The sequence below is a fragment of the Homo sapiens genome, chromosome 13, assembly GCF_000001405.40.
Source record: "Homo sapiens chromosome 13, GRCh38.p14 Primary Assembly".
Lineage (NCBI taxonomy): Eukaryota > Metazoa > Chordata > Mammalia > Primates > Hominidae > Homo > Homo sapiens.
The window spans coordinates 27,064,075-27,079,472 of NC_000013.11; the positions used below are offsets into that span (position 1 = coordinate 27,064,075).

The following is a 15,398-nucleotide window of genomic DNA, read 5'->3' on the forward strand; positions in this document are numbered from 1 at the left end:
AGAAAATATTTGCGAACTGTACATATAAGGGGATATCCAGAATTTATAAAGAACTCCTACTACTCGACAGAAAAAAAAGCAAACAACTGGACAAAGAACTTGAACAGCCATTTCCTCAAAGATACACAAATGGCCAATAAGCACATGAAAATATACTTAACATGACAAGGCATTAGGGAAATGCAAATCAAATCACAAAGAGATACCACTTGCATACTTATTAGCATAGCTATTATAAAAAAAACTCAGAAAATAATAAGCATTGGCAAGAATGTAAAAAAACTGGAACACTGGTACATTGCTAGTGGGAATGCATAACGGTACAGCCGCTGTGGAGAACAATATAGCTGTTCCTCAAAAAGTTCTTTATAGAATTCCACGATTCAGCAATTCCTAGATCTATACCCAGAAAACCTGAAATCTGGGGCTCGAACAGATACTTGCACACCAATGTTCACAGCAGCGTTAGTCACAACTGCCAAAAGGTGGAAAAGACCCAAATGTCCGTTAATGGATGAATGTATAAACAAAATGTTGTATATACATAAATGAAGTCTTATTCAGCCTTACAAAGAAAGGAAATTATGGCACATGCCACAACATGGATGCACCTTGAAAATAAGTGAAATGACACAAGAGGACAAATAGTGATTATTCCACCTCTATGAGGCACCTAGAGCAAGTTCATCAAGATAAAAAGCAGAATGCAGGTTCACAGAGGCCGCGGGGAAGGGAAGTATGGGGAGTGACCATTTAATGGGTACAGAGTTCTTGTTTGGGACAATGAAAAGAATTCTGGAAATGGACGGCAGTGGTATCTGCACATGGAGAATGTACTCAGTGTCACTTAATTGGACACTTAAAAATGGCTAAAATAGTAATTTTTAGTTTTGTTTTTTTTTTTTTTGTTTTTTTTTTTTACCACAACAACAAAAATCTTTTGGTAAGGATAGCCACGGTTAGGAGCCTGGACACTGGAGTTATACCTACTTGAAACCTGGACCTGCTACTTTCCAGCTGACTGGCTCTAAGAAAGTTACTTAACCTCTAAAGAACCTTAGATTCTTCCTTTGTAAAATGAGGATGTCACTGTCTCACAGATGTGGTTAAGATTAACATTAAAAGAAGTAAAATATCGAGTACAGGGGCGATCACATAGCAGGCTATCACCCAAAAGCGATGGGTTGTTACTTCAGTAGCTCTGCAGACAGAAAACAGATGCAGTTATTATAGAAAACACATGAATGAAGAGAGATGGGGAAAGCCTTGACATGTTAACAGGCACAGGTACCGCTAACAGGGAATCATGAAAAAAGGTGTGTGGCAAGGGACTCTCAGCTTTTCAATAGTTCACGAAAACTTTTAGGTATACAGGATTTCATTTACTACAAGTTCAATATGAAGTGTGTGATACAGACGCTTAGAAAAGAGAATGTGATCGTAGGTCCCAACTGACAGTATAGTTCACCTGTCACTGTGCTTGTTCTAGGAACACTCTTTCAGAGACATGAATGAAAAACAGTGCTTCCAGAATAGGGCTCCCAGGAAGGATGAAGTCTCTGAAAGCCATCTAATACAAAGATCAGCCTTGAGATCAGAAGCACACTGGGAGAATGAAGGATGGGCTGAAAATAATGGCAACATAAATAACAACTCAAGTTACTCAATAATGGAACAGGCTTCCAGCACTCAAGTGCAGGTTGACTGACCACTTGTGAAAACAGATTTTACAGGAGCAATTACTACACAGGAAAGGAGGAGGAGCAGGAGAAACAGTGATCTTTAAGGTATTTTACCTATTTTACCCTCTAAGATTCTATGACTCTCAATGTTCAAATTTAAACTTTGAACTTTTCAGACATGCTATCACAGAAAGGTGACACAAGCTACTATGTGCTAAATAAATGCAGGCACATGTAGAATGTTGTTTTACACACATGCAATTCTGTTCTAGGGAAAATCTCTTTGGATACAGAAGTAGGAGCTTGGGCAAAAGCAGTAACACAGTTTCCAAAGTGTCTACTTCTAATCTGTAAATACATTTTAGGCAAAAAGGAAAAAACACACTTGAAACCCACAGGCACAAATAAACCAACTTTAATAGATATTATTTTGTATTTATATAGTGCCTTCTTCAAGAACCTTAAATGCTTTACAGACATTATCTCTAATTAATCCCCACAACAACCCTGTGAGGTAGGTATTACTCCCATTTTACAAGACAGGGAGACTGAAGCACAGAGAGGTTAAGTGACTTGCCCAAGGTCACACAGTTAAATTCACTGAAGAGCCAGGACATGAGCGCTTTAGCCTCCCAGCTCCCAGCCAAATACCTCATGATAGAATCTTTAATAAAAAGTGTTTTTAAAGAAAGTATCAAGAGTAGTTATGTTATGAAAATGAGGTCTTTCTACTGCCATCAAGGAAAGAAAAAACCCTATACTGATGGTTAGAGGCCCCAAGACCCACATAATACAACATTTCCCTCTTTCCCTGTTCCCAAGCCTCCTGGTTCCTGTCTTAAATAATCTTTTAAAGGTAAAATTTCCAAGACAGAAGCCATGTGACTTAAGAAGTGGGACTTAATTTAGAATATTTACTTTTAGTTACAATAATTTATAGAAATTTTTATTCCAATATACAAAATATGGGACAGCCATCCCAACAATCATGTACATAGTTACACGGCAATCAGCCACCACTTACAACTTACACCAGCCCCGCATTTTAATCACAGTCAACCAACATACAACCTCACGATGCTTTCTTCATGGGTCACTTTTCTTACTTACTATACCTGTATTTTTCCCCCAACCCTGACCCTATACGTTTTAAAAGTACATTTAGTTTCTGATAAACTTCAAAACATTTTACTTAGATCCAGCTGCATTAAGAAGAAAAAGTAAATGTAAAACTGTCACCCCACAATCCCTCCCCTGACAAATCATACTATGAAGTACGGTGTAGATGTGAACAAGTATGTGATTACCAGGAACTCAACACATACACTAGAACTTGCTTTAATATGAAATTTAACTTGGCTTTTACGGCATGTTTTTTTTTAATGCAAAAATGTAAAAACAAACACAACATAGTATTTCAATGCTGTACCTTTATGCAAATGACTTCATCTATCTTTCTTAAACATGTTGATATAGCTAATGTTAAAACTGACACAGCTTCACTTTCCTCTTTTTCTCTGTACCGAAAGCTGCAGAAATACAGCTTTAATTCCAAGACAATTTGGTTTAAGCCTTCAAAATAAAAAGAGTGCATCCACTTCCACTGCCCTGACTTTCCCCACACTGTTGATTGTGATTCTCTGTGGCATGTTGGTAGATCAGGCTGGCTTATATATAATTTGTACAAAACACCTCTAGCCAGGGTAAGGCTTTAGGAACTATCTTAAAAAGAAACTTGTCAAAATACTTTTTGATATTTTGTACAAATACTAAATATTATAATTTTCTCCCAGAACATCTGTTTAAGCAGCCCAATTAAGTGACTCTGTTAAAGGTCTGCTTATGGAAAAAATAGGTGAAGTCATTTCCTGAGCCAAAAGATACAGATAATAAATGTTAATAATAGCAGCAGACTAAAAAATTCCTTTTTGTTGTTTTCCATAGTCAACAGTTTTAGCAAAAGGACTTTAGAAAATGACAATTTTTTTTAAATTTACTGCCTGAAAAGAGTTTAATAAAGAACATCCAAGGCCTGATTGCTATTATTCTGAATATAATTTTCAATAATTTTCTGCAAGTTACATTTGGCTACTGTCAGACAACTTACTGATGCATGGAAAAACGTCCAAAAAAACTGCAATCGTTTACATATATTTTATGTTACATATATTACTTCTTAAAACCCCCAACAGAATGAAGTCTTAGCAAACACAGATTTTAATTTCTGAACACCCTTCCAGTAAGATTTGTAAAGGTGGGGGGAAGGGAAGGAAGGACTTGTCTTTTGTATTCCCGGTCTACTTGATTAAAATTTAATCTTTGAAGGGTTTGTTTAGCTCACTATCCAGGCTGCTAGGGTTATGATGAACATTATGACTTCTTTCCAGGGTAAAAAATGGCATCTGAAAATAACATAAATGCTATGACATGATTTTCCCAAGCATGATCTCAACTTGAAACATTAGAATACTTAAGAATTCTAAAGATTGGTATACCACCACTGCACCAGAATTTTTAATTATTCCAACAACTACAGGAATTTTTAAAATAGTTTTTTAATTTTATGAAATTAAAGCTGAAGAAAATAACTGATTTAGAAACCATAATAAAAGGACAAATATTTAGCCAGAGATATCAGTTCCTCCTGAAAAAGGATATTTATCTCCTCTCACTGCAGTTTTTCTCAAGGTATCTTAACTGATTTCAGATAGAAATTAAAATTCACCTTAAAAATAGAAACAAACAAAAGGACAACTTAAACTGACATTAACTAATAAAAATATGTTCAAATTTACTGACAGAATCATGGGCACTTCATATAATACTTAGACTCTACCAGTTTTAAGTAAAATAAATAAGGAAAAAATTATAATTACAAAGCCAGTCTTTCCCCTTGGGGAAACAAAAAGCCACTTTTGACCAATTGCTCCCTACATATACATATACTGTATATTATTATAAGCTTCTTCAGAGAAGCAAAACATCTTTGTCTTCCCGACACTGGATTATCTAGCATGTTAGTTTTTACATCAGGAAGGCAACTGCAAGTGTTGGGCCCAAAAGTATTTCTGGTTTACTCTTGAAAAGACCACTGAATATGCTTCTATACATACTGAACCAGGCAAATTTATGCAGTGTGTTCAACATCATCTCCTTATCAATACGGCACAGATTCCGATTCTTTCTACTGCACCCCCAAGGAATTCAAAGCATTATTGGTGCAATTAATAAAGAGAAAATGCGTGCCAATGACTGGAAGGCTGTTTTAAAAGAGGAGCTGGTATCTCTGATTTCACCTCCTTGTTGTATGGAACTGTACAGACAGCATGATACCTGAGCAAATAAATCAACTACCATGATCGGAAGGGCTTGTCAATCCATCGTCTTTGCTTTATCGTGTGCAAAGTGTGCTACTGCCCCCTGAGCTTCCTGCATTTCTCTTTTCTTGAAAAATCAGTGCTTGATCCTTTCCAAAATAACCAGAGAAGAAATGAGGCAGAAAGTGTCTCTTCATCACGGTTCCCTCTCAGTCCCGAGACTGATAGAAAAGGATGTAACCAGACTCAGAGTTCTTTGAGATATCTGATGTCAACCCGTAGAATTCTTCAATAGCTTGTGCATCTATTTTCTGTGAGGTAAAATGTAAACATTAGTACATAAATGAGCTCTGTACAGCCAGAATGGCTTAAATTTAAAAGACTGACAATACCAAGTATTTGGTGAAAATGTGGGGAAAATGGAACTCTCACACACAGCTGGCAGGGCACACCAAAAAAATGTTTATAAATACCTATCTTCTAAAGCTGAACATACAACTACCCTTTGATCCAGCAATTCTACTTCTAGGTACAGGATGAATTATATGAAACCACTAATAACTATTTTGGACCAACAAAATGGTAACTTCTAGGCTGGGCACACTGACTCACGCCTGTAATCCCAGTACTGTGGGAGGCCAAGGCGGGCAGATCACCTGGGGTCAGAAGTTCGAGACCAGCCTGACCAACGTGGAGAAACCCCATCTCTATTAAAAATACAAAATTAGCTAGGCGTGTTGGCGCATGCCTGTAATCCCAGCTACTCGGGAGGCTGAGGCAGGAGAATCGCTTGAACCCAGGAGGTGGAGGTGGTGGTGAGCCGAGATCGCACCCTTGCACTCCAGCCTAGGTAACAAGACTGTCTCCCAAAACAACAAAAAGGCAACTTCTAGTGGTCCAACCTAACATATATCCAAGAAAAATGAGTGTATACGTCCAGCAAAAGGCTTATAAAAGATGACCAATGCATTTTAATTCACAATAGTCATTAACTGACAAAAAGTCAAATTTCTAACTTGGTATATTCATACAGTAGAAAATGACAAAGCAGTGAAAAAGAACTACTATTACCGCAGGCAACAAGAATGCATCTCACAAATATATCAATGAGTGAATAAAGTCTGACACAAAAGAAATCATGCTATGTGAGTCCATTTATATTCAAGCCTAGGCAAAATTAATCATAATGATAGAAGTCCAAATAGCAGGCTCCAGGAGGGTAGAGGTGAGGAAAGCTGTAAGTTCTGACCAGAAGGAGGAACAAGGGGGCCTGCTGCGGTGTTGAAAATGAATTGTATCTTGACCTGGATGGTAGTTACAAATGTGAGTGTGTGAGTATGGCCATGTGTGTGTGACATGGGGGGACACATGTATAAAAATTCATCAAATTCAGATTTGTATACTTTACTGTATGTATGTTACATGGCTTAATTTTTTTTTTTTAAAGCCAGGTCTGTTGTTGAAAGCTTTCCCTTGTTTTATTCTTTTTTTTTTTTTTGAGACGGAGTTCACTCTTATTGCCCAGGCTGGAGTGCAATGGCACGATCTCGGCTCACCACAACCTCCGCCTCCCGGGTTCAAGCGCTTCTCCTGCCTCAGCCTCCCGAGTAGCTGGGATTACAGGCATGCGCCACCATGCCCGGCTAATTTTGTATTTTTAGGAGAGACAGGGTTTCTCCATATTGGTCAGGCTGGTCTCAAACTCCCGACCTCAGGTGATCCGCCCGCCTCAGCCTCCCCAAGTGCTGGGATTACAGGCGTGAGCCACCGCACCTGGCCTCCCTTGTTTTATTCTAGGTGTGTAAAGGTTAGGTGACCACTCAACTGCTGGGCTTGGACGTTGCAGAGTAAGAAGTAGGAATTAGACTACAATCTATAGACCCAGACATTTGTCTCATATCATCACCAGTCATATATAAATGAAAAACTATGAGAAAAAAGTGAAAAGCAACATATGCATACAACTTTCAAAAATAAGAAATTAAGAAACTACTTACTTCTACAATGTCGTCATCAAACAACAACCAAAAATCATGACTCTTAACTATTGCAATATAATGGCCTCGATTGGGACCACTAAAACAAACGAAGAAGAAGTTAATTCAATATATTTATTAATATTACTCTTTCATGCTCTAAATTTTGTTTTATAAAGAAACAGAAACAGATAAATAGCAGTAAAAAAGAACTGCTTCTTTTTTATACCCCTTACCTATTCTTGCCAAAAGAGATAAAGCTACACTGAGTTGAACTGGTCATCAATTTTAAAATCAAATAATTAGTACTCTAAGAGATATATCAGTATTCTTTTCACATACAGCTATATTACTGAAATTTTTTACTGTCTTTGTAATAATTTTCAATTTTGCTTCTATAATAAAAGACATATTTTTCTATCATTTTATAAGGGAGGGGATCACAGCAGAACATGCTGAGTTGGACTATAAAACAATGCATATAGAATTATTTCTAAGTCTCACTCCCTTGGTAATGGTTTTTTTCTTGAGGAAAGATCCAATATGATGCTTGAAACAGGCAAGGATATCAAATCCTTGGTTCCAAAATCAAGCCTGAACTTCATAAAATGTCTTTAAAAGCAAATGACCTTTGCTCAATGGTAAGTCATTATTAAGTACCTAATTCTTAATACCATTATAACTATGACTATGATTGCCCCTGCATCTCATTTCAAACAAATCTGGAATATATAAATGTAGATATACATAAAAATAAAAGAAGCATAATTCCTTTTCTTTATAAAAGGATATGACAAAGGTTTTAACCTCTTCCAGTTTAAGTATGGTTCATTATAAAGGCTCATATAATTATATTTATTAAATTGTAATTCTATAATTAATACAGAAGTTAAAATCCTTTTCAACACAAATTATTCTTTATGGTGAACACTATTTTAAAAGTAGTGACCAGATATTAGAATAAGCCACCTACTATAATATCTTATGTTTCTCAGATCATTTGATCCTGTAGGTGAGATAAATATCTTTGACAGAATGACACCAACAAAAATACTTTTTTTTTTTTAACTATGGAGGATGACACATCAAAACTTTTTCTTAAAAAAGCATTTAATGCTTTAAGTCTATTTCTGTATTTATTTAGGCTCATCTAAAGGGTCTTGTGTGTTATGGGGAGAGGGTCAGAAATGAAAACAAAATTATAAAAGGTGAAATAAAGAAAAATCAAAGAAAGGTTGCAGAACACAGGGTGGAAGGAAAGGAGGTGGGTGGGGTAAGGACTGGTAAATTGAAAAAAGTTAGGCGGCTTTTTCCTTTGGCAAAGAACTAGTTTGAGGAACAGTAGACAAAAGTTAATTTCATAAACTAAAAATGAAATGAGAGATGAAGGGCTGAACTTCCACCTAAGGAAGTTGTTTCTTAGGCATCTGATTTCTGGACATTAAACACACTCAGTTGAGTAGATACAAATGCGTAAGGTATGCAAATAACTATTGATTGCTGTGGAGATTAAAGAGATACCAACAACTGCTTGCCCAAATACCCCTTCAGTACAATAGATAACTACTCCAAAAACATAATCCAAGGAAGAATATGATATAAAAGTAGAGCCACAGGAGAGACCTCATCCAGCAAGACAGGAGGTAGAAGGGAGAGAGGGATGGGAAATCACGAAATGGTGCCCAGTTTTGACATGGGCTTGAAGGGTAATACTTAAGTCAACAAACATTTGCTAGAAGTCTCTTCTAGGCTGGGCACCGGGGACAGAGAAGGAGCAAGCTGAACTGGAACTGACATGCTGATAATGAGGCTGCGCACACCCTCCACACTTTCATATGAAGCAAATCTACAAATAAGTCTGATAAATAAAATACACAATGGAAAAAGATTCTAAAATATGATTAGTCTTTTATTAGTGAGCAAATTATTTTCTGTTTTAAAAAGCACCTGTTCTCATAAGGGAAGTAGACATACATCCTAAGAGAGTACATAAAGCACTAAGACAGGGCTAGCAATGCACGTCTAGTATTTATGTGAAGACAATGGAGCAGCACCACATGGAGACTGAGGCTGGGCAGAAGAGCGTCAAGGAAGACTTCCAGAGCGGAGGGGCAGGAAGGCATGAGGCAATGAGAGTGAGACAGGAGAAAGAGTAAGACCCTGGGGTGGGGGCGGGATACCAAAGACCTGCTGTGCAGAACTCCATCAGGAGAGAGTTCCCAGTGAAGGCAGACCACCAGGGCTGTGAGGAAAGTCAATAAACATCTCTCTGCAATTTTCTGCAACAATTCTGACAGTAGGGATTCAGACAGCTGGCAAGAGGATTTTACAGTGCTTGTGAGAACATGCTTTAAATAACTGACTGTGGAGTTCAAGTTGGGAGAAGCAAGTGAGGCCAAAGAAAAGGTTAAAAAGGGAAAGGGTCAAGAGACTTAAGGATTTAAGGCTGGGGAAAGAGTTGGGTTAATTTTAAAAGGGGAGAGTGGGGAGGGGACCCCTCCCCAATGAGTCAGGCATCTCAGCTCAGTATATTGTGAGTAGAGCAATTCTAAAAATCTAGCATGATTTAAGTAGAGTAGGACTGTCACTAAATTTGAAGAGGCTAATCGGTGTGAGAAAGTAAATATTATAAAGCTAAGATGTGAGAAGGTAATATTACATTTTTGTTAATAGAACAGTAGCAGTAGCTAAGCGATTTACATCTCCCTTTGAATCCTAACAAAGCAATGTGGTAATTAGTATTATTTACATTTTCTAGAAGAGAAAACTGAAGGCTTTTCAGGAAGCTATGCATAACGTTACACTGCCCACAATTGGCAGAAATGGTACTGAGATCCAAGTTTCTCTCACTCTGAAAACCCGGTCTGAATCACTACACCAAGGTTCTTTAAGTAATCTTGACACTGCTTCACTCCTTTAAGATGTGATCACTCTTAATTTAGAAGTAGAAGAAAGATTCTTGCTGAGGATAAAAGACGGGACCCAAGGCTGACCCAGGCAATGGAGGAAGAAGACGATTATTAAAGAGCATTTGCTCCCTCCAGATTGTCCTTAAAAATTCTCATCAGAGGCCGGGCGCGGTGGCTCACGCGTGTAATCCCAGCACTTTGGGAGGCCGAGGCGGGCAGATCACGAGGTCAGGAGATTAAGACCATCCTGGCTAACATGGTGAAACCCCGTCTCTACTAAAAATACAAAAAATTAGCCGGGCGTGGTGGTGGGTGCCTGTAGTCTCAGCTACTCGGGAGGCAGAGGCAGGAGAATGGCGTGAACCCGGGAGGCGGAGCTTGCACTGAGCCGAGATGGCGCCACTGCACTCCAGCCTGGGCCACAGAGCAAGACTCCATCTCAAAAAGAAAAAAAAAAAATTCTAATCAGAGAGCTGGGAGGAGGGCTGAAGATGAGAAAGCTGTAACTTTTTTTATTTGGATAAAACATGCTGTTAGTACAAGTTTCCCAAAACCAAGGGGAAAATGATGAGTGCCTGCTTTAAAATTATTAAAGGAAATTCTAAGCAGTCAATGAAGACAGTTATGTTCCAAATACAAGTTTTGATTATGTGATGCTCTTGCAGTTTGAGAATTTTCTGAGGTATTTAATAAGGCCAATTATAGGTATGTACGTTCATACAGAGAAGATGTGTATACCATGTTGGAAAAGAAGATGAGAAGAAGACAGAAAGCAAAATTGGCTAATAAGAAATGATAAATACACACACAGGTAAAATCAAAAAATGAATCTTTGAAGATTATTTCCAATGCCATTTTAAAATGCTTTTTACAACCATTGATATGCTGAACATACGCAATTAAACTCAGAAGTGATTTATTTTAACCAACAACCCTCTATACACACACCCCAAAAAAGGAAAAGAAAAACTAACAGATCTCAAAGTTCTAGGAAATCAGATATAGTACTTGTAGAGTAATAAATAATAAAAATAAAAACAATATATTTTAACATATAAAATTTTTAAGAAATGATAAAACATAAAGCTAAAACTCCATTTTGAAATAAAATTATCTTGAGAGAATACAGAATTTCTAAAAGTTCTATATATGAATAATTCATGAACATCTTGAATGTACCCTGCTCTTCTAACCTAGGAATTCCACTACTATGTCCCCGGAGTTGCAATTACCTTCCACAGTGAACCACAACAGCAACAAGGTCGTACATTCTGTCTGGATTGGTGGCATCACCTGAAGTGTTAAACAGACGAAGTTCTAAAGGAAAAACTACCCGGTAAGAGAGTTTTGTATATCGATGAAGTTGATCCATATATTTAAATCTCTTCAGGTGTAGAGCTAGAATCATGGGCAGTTTTTTAACTTTCATCCTATTAAAAATAAAAATGAAAACAAAATTTCATAAAAGATATCCACCATGTCCTTGAATTATCAAACTTTACGATATCCAATGAACAGATAGACAATGGTCAGTTTTAATAGCCCAGCAATGCCCAGTTTTGCACATTTCTATCAATTATTTTTATACTGACAAAACAACATTCTGAACATCTTAATATGACCCCACCCTACCCATCATTGTCACACCACATAATTTGACACAGCACTCAATATGGCTCCAAAACAGATGGAATGGCGTTAGTCCTTGGTTAAGGAATCTGTATTTTTCAAACACACGTCTCTTATAATAAGGCTAAATGCACGGGGTGCTCAAGAGTGGTAGAGGGAAGGCCAGGCGCGGTGGCTCACGCCTGTAATCCCAACACTTTGGGAGGCCGAGGCAGGTGGATCACCTGAGGTCATGAGTTCAAGACCAGCCTGGCTAACATGGTGAAACCCTGTCTCTACTAAAAATACAAAAAATAGCCGGGCATAGTGGCAGGCGCCCATAGTCCCAGCTACTCGGGAAGCTGGGGCAGGAGAATCGCTTGAACCCAGGAGGCGGAGGTTGCAGTGAGCTGAGATCACGCCACTGCACTCCAGCCTGGGTGACAGAGCAAGGCTCCGTCTCAAAAAAAAAAAAAAAAAAGAGTGGTAGAGGGAAAACAAGTTTCTTGAAACTGACAATTCCTTTGGACTTGGGTAGACTGAAATCTATTTTTTCTATCAATCTATATGATGCAGGTACAGACTGACAATAGGAGACTAAAACAATAAAAGCACTAAAGACCAATCAAGGTGCTTGTCAGAGACAAGAAATAACTCCATATTAAGAAAAATGACAATGTATATCCTAGAAAGGGAGTAAAATAACCTGGAAACTTAGGAGTTAAGTTTTTAACTGTGAAACACAGGCTGTTCTTCATGTTCTAAACAATCTTTATTATGCCTTTAAATGCCATTTCTCCCTGAGAGTGCCTTTGTACTCCTACTTCACCTAAAAATCTATTCTTCTTTTAATGGCTCAGCTCAAATGTCACACCCTCTGGCACAAATACACCTGCTCTCTTCAATCCTCCATCAGCACCTTACAGGTTCACTTTATATATGTCAAGCTTATTACATGGTAACAATTTTAGGTGATTATGGTTCTTTTCTTCTAGGCCCTGAACTCTTGGCAGCTAGAAAGCATTCCCTTCATTTTTATTTCCCCACTATCTAGCAACATGCCTGACATATGATAGATGCCAAATGCTGCAGAACTGAATTTTAAATGGGTCTGGTGAAGCAAAATACTCCTCACAATTTAAAGAAGTGATATATGGTAAGCCACTGCCTCTAATAAGTGAAAAAAAAAATCATTTTATAACATTATACTAAATCTGCATTCTACACTTCTTAAATATGGTGGATAGCTTATTATTCCTAAATTACTTACTAGTGAATGAACTTGGCCTTTTGGAAACATTAGCCAAAGTAAAGGTAAACACCTAGTCACTCCTAGAAAGCAATCCACCAATATAAATTAGGAGCCTTTATGGCCTTTGTCTCAGTAATCCTATTTCTGGAAATACAATTAAATGTATAATCTCAAAAACATCCCTTATGAGAATAATCTCCTATTAGAGTTCTTTTACATTGTAAAAAATCCCAACTATTCAGCAACAGGAAATGTGGAAATAAATTAGAATTCAAACATAACCGAGTGTTGTACAACTTAAATAAAACAATGCTGATGAAAGTTTCTAGGTGACATAAGAAAATACTTAAGAAGTCAGGATATAAAATTATACATAAAATATAATTCAACTATGAAACATCAGACCTTTTATTAAACCCACATAGAGTTACTGAAAAGAAATCTTTACAAAACAACAAGGTATCCTTTGAGAATTTCCAATGGATGGTAGATGCAAAAGAAGAATTTTCTGAGCATAAAATGAGTGTCAGTGCACTATTAATAAATGGCAGTCAGGTAAGATTAGGAGGAGGAAAGAGAATGAACATGGCCCGATGGTTAGGGAAAATGTGCTTTTAGAAATTACACAAGGGGAGGAGTCCAAATGCAGAAAAGAGAAAATATCTCAATAATAGCAGATACAATATGTTTAATAAGATAACACATGAAGAATATGAATCCTATTTGCCAAAGATCCTCCCAGAGGAGAAGTGCTGGCTACCACAAAGAAACCAACTACCCATGGAATTGTCAAGCAAAAATATGTGTGGAGCCATATTTTAAAGATGATGAGAGACTAGCTTACAAAATTTCCCTCATATTGAAATGGCTCCAAAAAAAAGCAGAAAACTGCTTGAACATACGTGTAAGGAGTCTGAAACTCATTATGTAGATTTTGCAGCAGAAGGAAGAAAAAAGAAGTTGATTTCCTGCTCAAAACACTAAGGTCACCAAAACACCAAAGAATTTATAGGATTCTGGCTTTCCTTCCATTCAAACTTGTGGGGAGGGAGGTTACATTAGGGAGGTCTTGATCACTGTCATTGTTTTAAAAAAAAAAGTGGTCTTAGAACATAATGTTTTCTACAAAAGACAAACATTTTGAAGGAAAAACAGGAGGACAGAGAACATTTTTTTCCTTTTAAGTTTGAATAAACACTGATTTTTAAAAAATCTTCTGTAAACAGATATAAATTAATTTTCTATTTAAATTTATTTTTTTAATGACATTTACTGACCACATAACCAACTACTTAAAATTTGGATGAATTTCTATTATTCACTTGGCCCTCCATATTGGGAGTTCCACATCCACAGATTCAACCAGCCATGAATTGAAAATATTCAAAAAATAAATAAGTAAAAAAAATTTTTAAAAAGACAAAAATAATACCATTTAAAAAAATACAGTGTAACAACTACTTATATACCATTTACATTGTATTAGGTACCAAAGTACATAGGAGGATGTGCATAGGTCATATGCAAATGCTATGCCATTTTATATCAGGGACTTGAGCAACCATGCATTTTGCTCTATGTGAGGGTCCTGGAACCAACTGATACGGAGCATAACTGTATGCATTTTCTTGCTTTTACATCTTTAAAATGACAAACTGCATCCATGTTGTATTCTAACATAACAGGGGGTTGCCTTTCTTGATAATGTCTAGTTATAATTTAAAACTATTCAAAAAAGAAAGAAGGATGGGAAAAGACATACCATGTAAACACTAATCCTAAGTAAACTGGCTATACTAATGTCAGACAAAGCATACAAGATAAGGAGTCTTACCAGAAATAAAGAATACTTCATAATAATGAAGGTCAATTAACTAAGAGAACATAACAATCTTAAAAGCATGTGCTCCAAAATTTGAAAGAATTATAGAAATAGACAAGTGCATAATCAGAATTGGAATCTTTAACAGACTTCTCTCACTAACAAAAAAAATCAGTAAGGATAGGAAAATATGAACACCCTAACTATGGACTTAATTGACATTTATGGAATACTCAACCTCAAACTGCACTATACACATTCTTCTCAAGTTCAACCGAAACATTCACTAATGTACTGGACAATAAAGAAGTCTCGATAAATTTCAAAGATGAAATCAGAGTATGTCCTCTGATAAAAAAAAAAACTAGAAAATCCCCCCAGATATGGAAACTAAGCAACACATTTCCAAATAAGCCATAGGACAAACAGAACATCACAAGGGAAATTAGAATATATTTTTAAATGGATGATTATTATGAGACTACAACATCCTCTCATTTTAGGTCCTGTTCCCTAGAGCAGACCCTGAGACAGAAAGTCCCAGGCCTGTGATTTAATGTCGTGCTCCCTGTGTGGGGCGGGGGGGAGTGGGGGGAGAGGGAAGGAAACCAGGTAAGGATTCAATCTCAAGCAAAATCCCAGGAAGAGTGGCTTCAGCTCAGTGTCAGAGAACCCCAGAGTCTAAATTTCACCTCAGATTTCTCTTGACCACAAGGTAGCTGGGGTTTTATATGCTCTTTAGCACCTGTCAGTGACTGGTCAAAGACTTGGAATTTGAACCAAACTCCAGAAACTCCCTTCTCCAGTAGCCCAAGGGGGAGTCCTTCCCAGA

General features: G+C 37.1%; 1 protein-coding gene and 1 pseudogene across 2 annotated transcripts in view, besides 1 other annotated feature; one reads left to right on the top strand and one right to left on the bottom strand.

The window, feature by feature from the left end:
• Positions 1–2,081: 2,081 nt before the first annotated feature.
• Positions 2,082–15,398, bottom strand: part of USP12 (ubiquitin specific peptidase 12) — a 105,656-nt gene continuing 92,339 nt past the window's right edge. Inside the window, exons 7-9 of one of the 2 annotated variants that reach the window (NM_182488.4) lie at positions 11,117–11,314; positions 6,997–7,075; positions 2,082–5,310 (exon numbers count right to left, since the gene is read on the bottom strand). In NM_182488.4, the coding sequence (NP_872294.2) occupies positions 5,209–5,310; positions 6,997–7,075; positions 11,117–11,314 (379 nt within the window). In that variant the 3' untranslated portion in view covers positions 2,082–5,208. The remainder of the gene's footprint in view (positions 5,311–6,996; positions 7,076–11,116; positions 11,315–15,398) is intronic. The other variant, XM_005266282.3, reaches the window with a different exon arrangement.
• Positions 10,170–10,670: an enhancer, noted in NCBI's record as "H3K4me1 hESC enhancer chr13:27648381-27648881 (GRCh37/hg19 assembly coordinates)". NCBI's record gives its function as "activates a minimal SCP1, AML or CMV promoter by ChIP-STARR-seq in primed H9 embryonic stem cells {active_cell/tissue: H9 hESC(primed)}" and the evidence as "EXISTENCE:reporter gene assay evidence [ECO:0000049][PMID:30033119]".
• On the top strand, positions 13,144–13,880 carry RBBP8P2 (RBBP8 pseudogene 2; annotated as a pseudogene).